The sequence below is a fragment of the Homo sapiens genome, chromosome 2 (assembly GCF_000001405.40).
Source record: "Homo sapiens chromosome 2, GRCh38.p14 Primary Assembly".
In the NCBI taxonomy this organism is placed as follows: domain Eukaryota; kingdom Metazoa; phylum Chordata; class Mammalia; order Primates; family Hominidae; genus Homo; species Homo sapiens.
This window is the reverse complement of record NC_000002.12, coordinates 236,416,488-236,430,698: the sequence shown is the minus strand read 5'-3', so window position 1 is coordinate 236,430,698 and position 14,211 is coordinate 236,416,488. Positions and strand designations below refer to the sequence as shown.

The 14,211-nt window shown below is 39.4% G+C and overlaps 1 protein-coding gene across 10 annotated transcripts in view, besides 1 other annotated feature; it reads left to right on the top strand.

The window, feature by feature from the left end:
- DRC11 (dynein regulatory complex subunit 11) overlaps window positions 1-14,211 on the top strand; it is a 200,792-nt gene that overhangs the window by 76,778 nt on the left and 109,803 nt on the right. For 6 of the 10 annotated variants that reach the window (XR_007081589.1, NR_073043.2, NM_024726.5 and 3 more), the window contains exon 8: window positions 11,428-11,550. The exons of the other annotated variants lie outside the window; for them this stretch is intronic. Coding sequence is in view for 4 of the 6 variants with exons in the window: in NM_024726.5 (NP_079002.3) it covers window positions 11,428-11,550 (123 nt within the window). In the remaining 2 variants the exon portion in view is untranslated. The remainder of the gene's footprint in view (window positions 1-11,427; window positions 11,551-14,211) is intronic. 10 annotated transcript variants of the gene reach the window in all.
- Window positions 730-1,229: an enhancer, noted in NCBI's record as "H3K4me1 hESC enhancer chr2:237338113-237338612 (GRCh37/hg19 assembly coordinates)". NCBI's record gives its function as "activates a minimal SCP1, AML or CMV promoter by ChIP-STARR-seq in naive H9 embryonic stem cells {active_cell/tissue: H9 hESC(naive)}" and the evidence as "EXISTENCE:reporter gene assay evidence [ECO:0000049][PMID:30033119]".

The window sequence follows — 14,211 nt, the reverse complement described above, 5'->3', positions numbered from 1 at the left end:
ACTTTAAGGAATTTATCCTGCAGATATGTTCACCACCTGCAAAATGATATTTGCATGCATTTATTCATGGCAACAATGTTAGTAGTAGCAGATTACTATTAGAAATAACCTCAATCTTATTTGGTAGGGGAATGGCCAAATAAATTGTTACAATACACCTGTGAAAAATGAACCGTGAAGTTCTGTATGTACCACTAAGGAAAGATGGCCAAGATATATTATTAGGTGAAAAACGCAGAACAAGAACAGTATGTATAATACGCTAACATTTGTATAAAATGACAAGTTGATGTTTATAATGTGCATTTGTGTGTATACCTGTGTACATCTCTGTGCACTTGGAAGATTTTGCTATAACTGAAGAGTGCAGGTAAAATAAATTTTGTATTGGTTTAAAAAAGAGACAACTTCAATGACATATTACTTTTCACCTATACAATTGGCAAACATAACACAACAATGCCAGTGTGCTCTGTGTGTGTGTGTGTGTGTGTGTGTGTTATATGTATATTCGCATATATGTATATAAAATGTCTTTAGAAGCATATCCAAAGTATTTGGGTTGACTTTTTAGCAAGTGTATTATGATCAGCCACACACTGGAAGTCACCACAAACCCCAGTGGCCTGCTTAGCCCAGGACTCCAGCAGACCCCTGCTGAGGAACTCAACAGCCCTGCTGAGGAACTCAAGACCACCACACAACCACCTGCAGCTTTCACCACAGAGGACCCCTCAGGGTTTGTTATCATGAACCCCAACAGCATATTCTGCAGAGGATCCTACAGTTTTCATAGCTGAGGAAACCAACTGCCTGCACAGAAGCAGGGGACCCCCTTCAGCTTTCACCACTGAGGACACTGCATTTCTTTTCACCTTCACAGTCTCCAGGTGCCTGAGTCTCCTACCTGTCCCCCACTGGAGCCACCCAGAGCCACATGACTGCTCCTGCCACAGTGAGCACAGCCCACCGACCCACCCAAGTGGCCCTCGTGTTCCCTAGGTGCCTAAATCACCACATCTCCTTGAAACCACCCCAGCTACTGCCTCCACAGGTTCTCTGGGCCAGGGACCCAGAGCACCTACTGCATGCATGCCAGAAAACAGCCTTGGAGCCCCCTACCACAGACTCCAACCCCACCACTGCATGCACCCAAGGCTGACTCCTGTAGCCAGGCTATTGCAGTAGCTGCTAGCCTGGCCCCCACAACTAGATGAGCATAACCAGTTGGCCATGCCCTCCAGCAACTATCCCCACACTGTGCTTGTTCCCAGAGCTGGTCCCTGTAGCTACATGTGCATGCACCCCTCCAGCTCAGCCTAAAGATGCCCATGCATGCAGATGGTGTTGATGACCTGCAGCTGGCCTCTGCAATTATGCATATGCAAGCTGCTGGCCCCCAGTGCCACATGTGCACCTGCAGCTGACCCCAGCCACAAAGGACTAAGCAGGTGCCAACATCACAGACTCCAGCTGCCTGAAATGGCAAGACTGAACGCTCCCCCAGATTCGGAGCCACCACATACCCCAACACTTGGTACCTCACAACACCAGACCTGATGCTACAGTGCCCCCAGCATGCCTCTGTCCCCCCACCCTGCTGCCCACAGGTGAAGGTCTTTCCTTACCAAAGCCAGTCCATAAAGTCTGGAAGAGGTGACTACTTCTTGAAATTTGCAGACTCATTTATAAGACTATATGAAGAATCAGGGAAACATGATACCACCAACGGAACACAATAAACTTTCAGTAACTGACCCTAAAGAATTGGAGATCCATGAATTACATGACAGAGAATTCAAAATAAGTATTCTAAAGAAGCTCAGCAAATTACAAGACAATACAAATAAACTAGTTAATGAAATCAGGAAAATAATAGCAGAACAAAATGAAAGAAGGATTTACAAGACAATCAGAAAGTAATAAAGTGGCAGCAATAAGTTCTTCCTATCAATAATTATCTCAAATGTAAATGAATTAAATTCTCCAATCAAAAGACATAGCATGGCTGAATGGATTTTTTTTAAATTACCCAACTATATGCTGCATACAAGAGATTAACTTTACCTTTAAGGACACATATAGAATGAAGGTGAAGGGATAGAAAAAGATATTCCATGTAAATTGAATCCAAAAGAAAGCAGGGGTAACTATAATCATGTCAGACAAAATATACTTTAAGTCAAAAACTGTAAAAAGGGCAAATAAGATCATTATATAATTATAAAGAGATCAGTTCATCAATAGGATATAACAATTGCAAATATATATGTACCAAACATCAGAGCATATAAATATGAAAAGCAAATATTAATAGATCTGAAGGGAGAGACAGATTATAATACAATAATAGTAGGGAATTTCAGTACCTTACTTTCAACAATGAACAGATCATTCAAACATAAAATCAATAAGGAAACAATGAACTTGAACTACACTTTAGACCAAATGGACCTAATAGACATATACAGAACATTTGATCCAACAGCAGCAGAATATACATTCCTTTCAAATGCACATAGAACATTCCCCAGGACAAATCATATATTCAGCCACAAAACAAGCCTTAACAAATTTAGGAAGATCAAAATCATATGAAGTATATCTTTTCAGACTGCAATGGTGTGAAACCAGGAACAATAAAAGGAAAAATCTTTGAAATTTCACAAATAGATAGAAATTAACAACATGCTCCTAAACAACCAATGGATCAAAGAAGAAATTTAAAGGCAAATTTTAAAATGTCTTGAAACCAATAAAAATGGAAACACAACATACTAAAACCTATGAGATACAACAAAAGCAGTACTAAGAGGGAAATTTCTAGCAATAAATGCCTACACCATAAAAGAAGAAAGATCTCAAACAACCTAACATTATGCCTCAAGGAACTAGAAAAAGAAAAACAAACTATTATTAAGTACAAAATTAGCAGAGGAAAGAAATAAAGATAAGAACAAAAATAAATGAAATGGAGCCTCAAAAAAACAACAGAAAAAGTAAACTAAGAGTTGGTTTTGTGAAAGATAAAATTGACAGGCTGTTAACTAGACTAGGAGAGAAAAGAGTCACACAAATAAAATTAAAAATGAAAGAGGATACATTACAACTGATACCATAGAAATACAAAAGATCGTGAGACTATTATGAATAATTATATACCAGCAAATTCATTAGCCTAGAAGAAATGGATAAATTATTATACAACAACAGGACTAATCATGAAAAAATAGAAAATCATAGTGAGTAGAGAAATTGAATCAGTAATCAAAACCCTTCCAATAAAGAAAGGCCCAGGATAAAATGGCTTCTTGTGTGAATTCTACCAAACATGTAAAGAACTAATACCAATGCTTCTTAAATTCTTCCCAAAAATTGAAGAGAAATAAATACTTCCAAATTCATTTATGAGGCCAGCATAAACCTAATACCAAAACCAGGCAAGATACTGAGAGAAAAGAAAATTATAAGCCAATGTTCATGATGAACATAGATGCAGAAACCCTCAACAAAATACTAGCAAACCAAATTCAAGAGCACATTAAAAGAATCATTCACCATGACCAAACAGGATTTATCCTTGGGACGCAAGAGTGGTTCAGCCTATCCAAATCAATCAGTATAATATACCACATTAACAGAATGAGGGATAAAAATCATATGATCATTTTAATAGATGCAGAAAAAGTATTTGGCAAAATTCAAAACTCTTTCATAATAAAAACTCAACAAATTATGCAGAGAAGGAACTTAACACGATAAAGACTATATACGAAAAGCCCACAGCTAAAATCATACTCAATAGTGAAAATCTGAGTTTTTCCTCTAAGATCTGCACAAGATAAGGATGCCCACTCTTGCCAGTTTTATTCAACCTAGTACAGAAGTCCTAGCCAGAGCAATTAGGCAAGAATAAGAAATAGAAGGCATCCAAATAGGAAGGGAAGAAGTGAAATTTCCTGTCTTTGATCTTGCATATAGAAAAATCCAGAGGCCGGGCACGGTGGCTCACGCCTGTAATCCCAGCACTTTGGGAGGCTGAAGTGGGAGGATCACTTTAGCACAGGTTTTCGAGAAGAGCCTGGGCAACATAGCAAGACCCTGTCTGTATTGAATTTTTAAAAATTTTGAAAAAGAAAAAGGAAAACCCCAGAGACTCCACTAAAAATACTATTAGAACTGACGAACAAATTTAGTAAAGTTGCAAGATACAAAATCAGCATACAAAAGATCAGTAGCATTTCTATACACTAACAGTGAACTCTCTGAAAAAGAAATCAAGAAAACAATCCCATTTATAGTAACATTCTTTTAATTTAGGTATAAATTTAACCAAGGAGGTGAAGGATCTGTGTATTGAAACCTACAAAACATGCAAAACATTGGTGAAAGAATTTTAAGAGGACACAAATAAATAGAAAGATATCCTGTACTCATGAATTGGAAGAATTAATGTTGTAAAAATGAACATATTACCCAAAGTGATCTATAGATTCAGTGTAATGACTATCAAAATTTCAGTGACACTTTTTCACAGAAATAGAAAAAGCAATTCTAAAATTTATATGGAACCACAAAACACCTCAAATATCCAATGAAATCTTGAGCTAAAAGAACAAAGCTAAAGACATCACACTTCCTGATTTCCAAATATATTACAAAGCTACAGAAAGCAAAACAGCGTGATACTGGCATAAAAACAGACATAAAGATCAGTGGAACAGAAGAGAGAGCCCAGAAATAAATCCACACACTACAGCAAATTGATTTTCAACAAAGGTGTCAAGAACACACAATGGAAGAAGGATAAGTCTCTTTGATAAATGGTTTGAGAAAACTATATATCCACATGCAGAACAAGGAAATTGAACCCTTATCTCACACCATATACACAAATCAACTCAAAATGAGTGAAAGCCATGAACAAAAGACCAGAAGCTATAAAACTACTGTAAGAAAACATAGGGGAAATCTCCATGACATTGATCTGGGCAGTGATTTTCTGGATATGACCCCAAAAGCACAGGCAACAAAAGTAAAAACAGGTAAATGGGATTGCACCAAACTAAAAAACTTCTGCACAGCAAGGAAACAAAAGAGAAGAGTCAACCTATGAATTGGGAGAAAATATTTGCAAACCATACATCTGATAAGGCGTTAATTTCCAAAATATATAAAGAATTTAAAGACTGCTATAGCAAGAAAACAACCTAATTTAAAATTGGGCAAAGGACATGAATAGACATTTCTCAAAAGAAGACATACAAATGGTCAACATGTATATGGAAAAATGCTGAACGCAACAGACATACGCAAATTAAACAATGAGATATTACTTCACACTTAGGATGGCTGTTATCAAAAAGACAAAAGACAACAAATGTTGGCAAGGATGTGAGAGAAGGGGACCCTTGTACACTGTTGGTGGGAATGTAAATTAACACAGCCATTATGGAAAACAGTGTGGAAGTTCCTCAAAAAATGAAAAATAGAACTATATGATCCAGCAATCCCACTACTGAGTATGTATCCAAAGGAAATGAAATCAGTGTGTCAAAGAGATGTCTGCACTACCATGTTCATTGCAGCATTGCTCACAAAAGCCAAGATGTGGAAGCAACCTCAGTGTTCTTCAGTAGATGAACGGATAAACATAATGTATTGTATATACCCAGTGGAACACTATTCAGCTTTAAAAAAGAAGGAAATTTCTGTCATTTGTGACAACATGCATGAACCCAGAGGACGTTATGCTAAGTGAAATAAGCCAGGCACAGAAAGACAAATACTGCATGATCTCACTTATAAATAAAATCTAAAAAAACAATTTAACTTACAGAAGCAGAGAGTAGAATAGTGATTACCAAGGGTGGGAGGGGAAGATCAGGGAATGGAGAGATGTTGGTCAAAGGGTACAGAGTTTCCATTAGACAGGAGGAAAAAGTTCTGGAGATGTATTGTCCAGCATGATGACCATAATTAACAATATTATATTGTATATTTTTAATTGCTAAGAGAATAGATTGTAAATGTTCTCATCACACACAAAAAATGCTAAGCATGTAAGGTGATGGACATGTTAGTTAGCTTGACTTAATCATTCCACAATGTGTACATGTATCAAAACATCATGTTGTATACTGTATATATATTAAATTTTTGTCAATTATGCCCTAATAAAAAATAAAAAGAGAAAGTGGATCTTCTTGGCTAGTTAACAGTATGGGGAGGAAACCTTTCACTGTATTTATGTATAATTACTCTTTCATAACTTTTGAATTGTGAACCATGAAAATGTAATACTCAAAAATTTAAACTAATAAACTATAAAAGGAGAGAGATGAAATAAACCATATAATTGGTAAGACTTTAAAAGGCTTAACTGATAAGGCCACAGTGAAATTTATACTCCACAAATAAGGATTTCATCTTTTCAGCTGCTCATAATTATATATCCGACTATTTTTTTTAAGTCTTTACATTTCTGAAAGTTTTTTTTTACACTTTAAGTTTTAGGGTACATGTGCACAACGTGCAGGTTAGTTACATATGTATACATGTGCCGTGCTGGTGTGCTGCACCCACTAACTCGTCATCTAGCATTAGGTATATCTCCCAATGCTATCCCTCCCCCCTCCCCCCACCCCACAACAGGCCCCAGAGTGTGATGTTCCCCTTCCTGTGTCCATGTGTTCTCATTGTTCAATTCCCACCTATGAGTGAGAACATGCGGTGTTTGGTTTTTTCTCCTTGCGATAGTTTGCGCAGAATGATGGTTTCCAGCTTCATCCATGTCCCTTCAAAGGACATGAACTCATCGTTTTTTATGGCTGCATAGTATTCCATGGTGTATATGTGCCACATTTTCTTAATACAGTCTATCGTTGTTGGACATTTGGGTTGGTTCCAAGTCTTTGCTATAGTGAATAGTGCCACAATAAACATACATGTGCATGTGTCTTTATAGCAGCATGATTTATAACCCTTTGGGTATATACCCAGTAATGGGATGGCTGGGTCAAATAGTATTTCTAGTTCTAGATCCCTGAGGCATCGCCACACTGACTTCCACAATGGTTGAACTAGTTTACAGTCCCACCAACAGTGTAAAAGTGTTCCTATTTCTCCACATCCTCTCCAGCACCTGTTGTTGCCTGACTTTTTAGTGATCGCCATTCTAACTGGTGTGAGATGGTATCTCATTGTGGTTTTGATTTGCATTTCTCAGATGGCCAGTGATGATGAGCATGTTTTCATGTGTCGTTTGGCTGCATAAATGTCTTCTTTTGAGAAGTGTCTGTTCATATCCTTTGCCCACTTGTTGATGGCGTTGTTTTTTTTTTCTTGTAAATTTGTTTGAGTTCATTGTAGATTCTGGATATTAGCCCTTTGTCAGATGAGTAGATTGCAAAAATTTTCTCCCATTCTGTAGGTTGCCTGTTCACTCTGATGGTAGTTTCTTTTGCTGTGCAGAAGCTCTTTAGTTTAATTAGATCCCATTTGTCAATTTTGGCTTTGGTTGCCATTGCTTTTGGTGTTTTAGACATGAAGTCCTTGCCCATGCCTATGTCCTGAATGGTAATGCCTAGGTTTTCTTCTAGGGTTTTTATGGTTTTAGGTCTAACGTTTAAGTCTTTAATCCATCTTGAATTGATTTTTGTATAAGGTGTAAGGAAGGGATCCAGTTTCAGCTTTCTACATATGGCTAGCCAGTTTTCCCAGCACCATTTATTAAATAGGGAATCCTTTCCCCATTTCTTGTTTTTTCAGGTTTGTCAAAGATCAGATAGTTGTAGATATGCGGCATTATTTCTGAGGGCTCTGTTCTGTTCCATTGATCTATATCTCTGTTTTGGTACCAGTACCATGCTGTTTTGGTTACTGTAGCCTTGTAGTATAGTTTGAAGTCAGGTAGTGTGGTGCCTCCAGCTTTGTTCTTTTGGCTTAGGATTGACTTGGCAATGCGGGCTCCTTTTTGGTTCCATATGAACTTTAAAGTAGTTTTTTCTAATTCTGTCAAGAAAGTCATTGGTAGCTTGATGGGGATGACATTGAATCTATAAATTACCTTGGGCAGTATGGCCATTTTCACGATATTGATTCTTCCTACCCATGAGCATGGAATGTTCTTCCATTTGTTTGTATTCTCTTTTATTTCATTGAGCAGTGGTTTGTAGTTCTCCTTGAAGAGGTCCTTCACGTCCCTTGTAAGTTGGATTCCTAGATATTTTATTCTCTTTGAAGCAATTGTGAATGGGAGTTCACTCATGATTTGGCTCTCTGTTTGTTATTGGTGTATAAGAATGCTTGTGATTTTTGCACATTGATTTTGTATCCTGAGACTGCTGAAGTTGCCTATCAGCTTAAGGAGATTTTGGGCTGAGACGATGGGGTTTTCTAGATATACAATCATGTCATCTGCAAACAGGGACAATTTGACTTCCTCTTTTCCTAATTGAATACCCTTTATTTCCTTCTCCTGCCTAATTGCCCTGGCCAGAACTTCCAATACTATGTTGAATATGAGTGGTGAGAGAGGGCATCCCTGTCTTGTGCCCGTTTTCAAAGGGAATGCTTCCAGTTTTTGCTCATTCAGTATGATATTGGCTGTGGGTTTGTCATAGATAGCTCTTATTATTTTGAAATACGTCCCATCGATACCTAATTTATTGAGAGTTTTTAGCATGAGTGTTATTGAATTTTGTCAAAGGCCTTTTCTGCATCTATTGAGATAATCATATGGTTTTTGTCATTGGTTCTGTTTATATGCTGGATTATGTTTATTGATTTACATATGTTGAACCAGCCTTGCATCCCAGGGATGAAGCCCACTTGATCATGGTGGATAAGCTTTTTGATGTGCTGCTGGATTTGTTTTGCCAGTATTTTATTGAGGATTTTTACATCAATGTTCAAGGATATTGGTCTAAAATTCTCTTTTTTTGTTGTGTCTCTGCCAGGCTTTGGTATCAAGATAACGCTGGCCTCATAAAATGAGTTAGGGAGGATTCCCTCTTTTTCTATTGATTAGAATAGTTTCAGAAGGAATGGTACCAGCTCCTCCTTGTACCTCTGGTAGAATTCAGCTGTGAATCCATCTGGGCCTGGACTTTTTTTGGTTGGTAAGCTATTAATTATTGCCTCAATTTCAGAGCCTGTTATTGGTCTATTCAGAGATTCAACTTCTCCCTGGTTTGGTCTTGGGAGGGTGTATGTATCGAGGAATTTATCCATTTCTTCTAGATTTTCTAGTTTATTTGCATAAAGGTGTTTATAGTATTCTCTGATGGTAGTTTGTATTTCTGTGGGGTCGGTGGTGATATCCCCTTTAACATTTTTTATTGCATCTATTTGATTCTTCTCTCTTTTCTTCTTTATTAGTCTTGCTAGCAGTCTATCAATTTAGTTGATCTTTTCAAAAAACCAGCTCGTGGATTCATTGATTTTTTGAAGGGTTTTTTGTGTCTCTATTTCCTTCAGTTCTGCTCTGATCTCAGTTATTTTTTGCCTGCTGCTAGCTTTTGAATGTGTTTGCTCTTGCTTCTCTAGTTCTTTTAATTGTGATGTTAGGGTGTCAATTTTAACTGAACAACCTGCTCCTGAATTACTACTGGGTACATAACAAAATGAAGGCAGAAATAAAGATGTTCTTTGCAACCAACAAGAACAAAGACACAACATACCAGAATCTCTGGGACACATTCAAAGCAATGTGTAGAGGGAAATTTATAGCACTAAATGCCCACAAGAGAAAGCAGAAAAGTTTTACAGTTTCTAAGGTCCAAACAATGTCTGTGTTACAAGTGCTCCAGTACAATGAAGACCTGGGCAGCCACACCTTGATTCTGTGAGTCAAGGTGAGCCTTTGTCTGTTTTGTTTTGTTTTTTTGAGGCAGGATCTCACTCTGTCACCCAGGCTGGAGGGCAGTGGCTGGATCATAGCTCACAGCAGCCTCTACCTTCCAGGCTCAGGTAATCCTCCCACCTCAGCCTCCCAGATAGCTGGGAATACAGGTGTGCACCACCATGCCTGGCTAATGTTTTGTGTTTTTTTTTGTAGACATGGGGTTTCATCATGTTGCCTAGGCTGGGAAAAGATCATTTTTGCATGGCCAAATATGTTCACAACACATGCTTCACCTCTCGCCTTTCTCCACACTAGGATAAAACGATATTAGCCCTTGTCTCCCCACCCCCAATTTTTTAATTGCTCCATCTTCAAAGGCAACTGCTGTACTTAATTTGGAGTTTGTCATTCCCTTACATTCCTTTGTACTTGGACTACATGTGTATGTACCTGAGACTGGAGTATGGATTGTTGGTTTCACTCTGTGCATTTTGTACGATGGAGTAAGTTGACATGTGTTCTTATACATTATGCCTCTTTTCTCCCTACATTATGAAATTCATCCTGGTTAAGCACGTGCTGAATCCCAGCTCAGCTACTCACTAGCTGTGTGTCCCTGGCTGGGATACTGCACTGTATGTGTCCCAGTTCCCTCATCCATAAAACAGGGCAACAACAGCAACCCCCATGCGTCTGGTGTAGCAGCAAAGGAGTCTGTCTCTGTGAGGCTCTCAGAAGCATGCCTGGCGGATCCTAAGTGCTATGTACGGAGATGCTGGCTCCCTTTTAGAGCTGAGGAAACTGAGTCTCAGAGAGCTTATGCAGCTTGTCTTGGCCACATGACAAGTCATGAGCAGAGCCCTGGGGGCCAAACAGGAAGCGTGTCCTGTCATTGTCACCTTTATATCTCCTGGAATTCACAGCTCTCTATGGCAGTGAGTGAGTGCTCAGTGAACACTGTTGTATTGAACTGAATTATATGTTTTTTTAACAAATCTATAATAATTCTCCAGTAGTGCTAATCCTATGTGAACTGGATACTTTTTAACAAATATTTTATAATTTAGGAGGATAAAAGGTCTTTTGTCACTGTAGGGGATATAAATTAAATCACTGGTGAAAGAAACCAACTCATGAAAATGAAAGTTATTGCAAGAGTGGCTGTTGCCATTGGAGCCTAGCAGGAAGCAGTGGCATCCTCCCCCTGGATTTTGACGAGCTGTGGGCAGGGCTGGCACATCCAGCTGTTGCTGAGACGTTGAGGAAGCTATGACCTCCCCTAGAGTTTGTGGAACCTCCAGGAGCTGGAGTGGGTGGAATTAGGGAAGGAACTGGGCTCAGAAACGTCGAGACTCTCTCTCCATCTACACTGAGGCTGCTGCCCCCTGTTCATGAATCCAGCTAAGGGTAGATGGTAGGCAGGAGCCCCACCATGCCCCAGAAGGGGTCGGCCTGCAGGGTCCAGGGCCAGGCAGAGAGATGACACTGACCAGCACAAAAACTTCCTTTCAGACAGGGAAAACAGTCCTTCTCTTGATAGGGATCTATGAAAATGGTATGATTATTTTGGTTTTCACTAGGTTATTGAGGATATCATAGCAAACCAAGAGGAAGAAGAAAAAAACAAAAAGAAGAAGAAGAAAAAGGAAAAACAACCCAAGAAAGCCAAAAAACAAAAGAAAGGAACAAAGGAGAAAAATAAGGTAAAATATTTGTATGAAATTTTAGAAATTTGATTTCATTTTCTTTTTATTGACTTCTTTGCTTTGAGTCAATGAGATATTTACAAATCTGTTGGGAGTGCAGCCGTTTGTTTCCTAGAGAAACCATGTTATCTACCAACAGGTTTTCAGTTTTTAAATATTGATTGGCAATCCATTGCCACATTTTCTATAACTTGTAAGTATCAATTAGGATCAATCGTGATTTCAACAACTCAGATACCTCACATGTTTTTTCACATACGTGATAGCTTTGAGTTTTCCTTCCTCAAAATAAATTATCCCACTTGTCTTTCCTCAATGGTAGAGAGAAGTAAAAATGCTTAACAAACCAAGTAAACACTGGAAAGTCAAAATAATCATACTAATTTAACCAAAATGTGTTTGTTCAAATTTATCATCTAGCGCTGACATCTGGATATATTTTAACAGAAGTATTTGTTACCAAAGGAAATCAGAGTTCACACAGTGTCACATTGGGCCCGTCCTTCCGTCGTGTAGGGGGGTTGGAAGCGGAGGTGGAATGAACTTGCCAATAACTGGGGGGGTCTTCATGGTGAAGCCTGCAGGAGAAGTGAACTCTTAGGGCCCATATGCTTTCAGCATAAACACTTTCTATGAGAAACGGATCTCAGGCTTGAAGATGGCCTCATCCTAAAACATGACTATGTTTGAAGTAGAGTGTGTTGCAGTCAGATACCACTTCATGGCTGACCAAAATCCAGTCGGAATCAGCTCTGAAGAGTGGATTCTTAAAGACATTTATGCAGCAGCCAACAAACATATGAAAAGAAGCTCATTATCACTGGTCATTAGAGAAATGCAAATCAAAACCACAATGAGATACTATCTCACGCCAATTAGAATGGTGATTATTAAAAAGTGTGGAAACAACAGAAGCTGGCAAGGCTGTGGAGAAATAGGAACACTTTTACACTGTTGGTGAGAGTGTAAATTAGTTCAACCATTGTGGAAGACAGTGTGGCGATTCCTCAAGGACCTAGAACCAGAAATACCATTTGACCCAGCAATCCCATTACTGGTATATACCCAAAGGATTATAAATCATTCTGTAAAGACACATGCACACGTGTGTTTACTGCAGCACTATTTACAATAGCAAAGACTTGGAACCAACCCAAATGCCCATCAATGATAGACTGGATAAAGAAAATGTGGCACATATACACCATGGAATACTATGCAGCCATAAGAAAGAATGAGTTCATGTCTTTTGCAGATACATGAATGAAGCTGAAAACTATCATCCTCAGCAAACTAACACAGGAACAGAAAACCAAACACCACATGTTCTCACTCATAAGTGGGAGTTGAACAATGAGAACACATGGGCACAGGGAGGGGAACATCACACACAGGGGCCTGTTAGGGGATGGGGGGCAAGGGGAGAGAGAGCATTAGGACAAATACCTAATGCATTCGGGGCTTAAAACCTAGATGACGGGTTGATAGGTGCAGTAAACCACCATGGCACATGTATACCTATGTAACAAACCTGTACGTTCTGCACATGTATCCCAGAACTTAAAGTAATATAAAAAAAAAAAAAAGATCATGATCCTGCTGTGACTCCAGTCTGCATCAGCTCTTCAGAGTGGATTGATAGAGGTTATGATCCACAGTGACTGTTGAGAGGCAGTGACCCAGCTCCAGCTCAGACAGCCACAGTCGTGCTCCTCATGTTACAAGGATGTTCTGACCAGCACACAGACTCGCAAACTTCTGTGTGGGAGGAGCAGCTCCGAGGGTCTGGCAGACTGTGTCTGGGAACCCTGGTGCCAGGTCACAGTGAGAGAGAAAAGGGATAGCCTGTGCAGTCAAGCAAGACGAGCTACTTGAGTTAGAAGTTACGAGCAAGGGAGAGAGGGTAATGGTAAACATAAAATCACAGCACCCAAATCTGGCACGATGTAGGCAATGGTAACAAAAGCCAACATTTTGGCTGGGCATGGTGGCTCACGCCTGTAATCCCAGCACTTTGGGAGGCCGAGGCAGGCAGATCACCTGAGGTCAGGAGTTCGAGACCAGCCTGGCCAACATGGTGAAACCCCATCTCTACTAAAAATACATACCTGCAATCCCAGCACTTTGGGAGGCCAAGGCAGGCAGATCACCTGAGGTCAGGAGTTCAAGACCAGCTTGACCAATATGGTGAAACCCCATCTCTACAAAAATACAAAAATGAGCCAGGCATTGTTTTGGGTGCCTGTAATCCCAGCAACTCAGGAGGCTGAGGCAGGAGAATTGCTTGAACCCAGGAGGCGGAGGTTGCAGTGAGCCAATAATGTGCCACTGCACTCCAGCCTGAGTGACAGAGTAAGACTCTGTCGCAAAATTATTTATATATATATATATATATATATATATATATATATATATATATATATAAATATATATATATGTAAATAAATAAATAAAAGCCAACATTGTGTTCAAAGCTCCGGGCATGACTGCGGCTGGCCGACTGAAGGCAGTGGTTCCTTTCACATGCTCGGCTCCTGCACTGTGACCCGCAGTGGTTCTTCCGTCTGCCTCCATTTGTCTTCATCCCTTTCTTTAACCACGTTCCACTGATGTTCACTGAATGAACAAAAGAAGAGACCCCTTACTGCTCATTTGGGG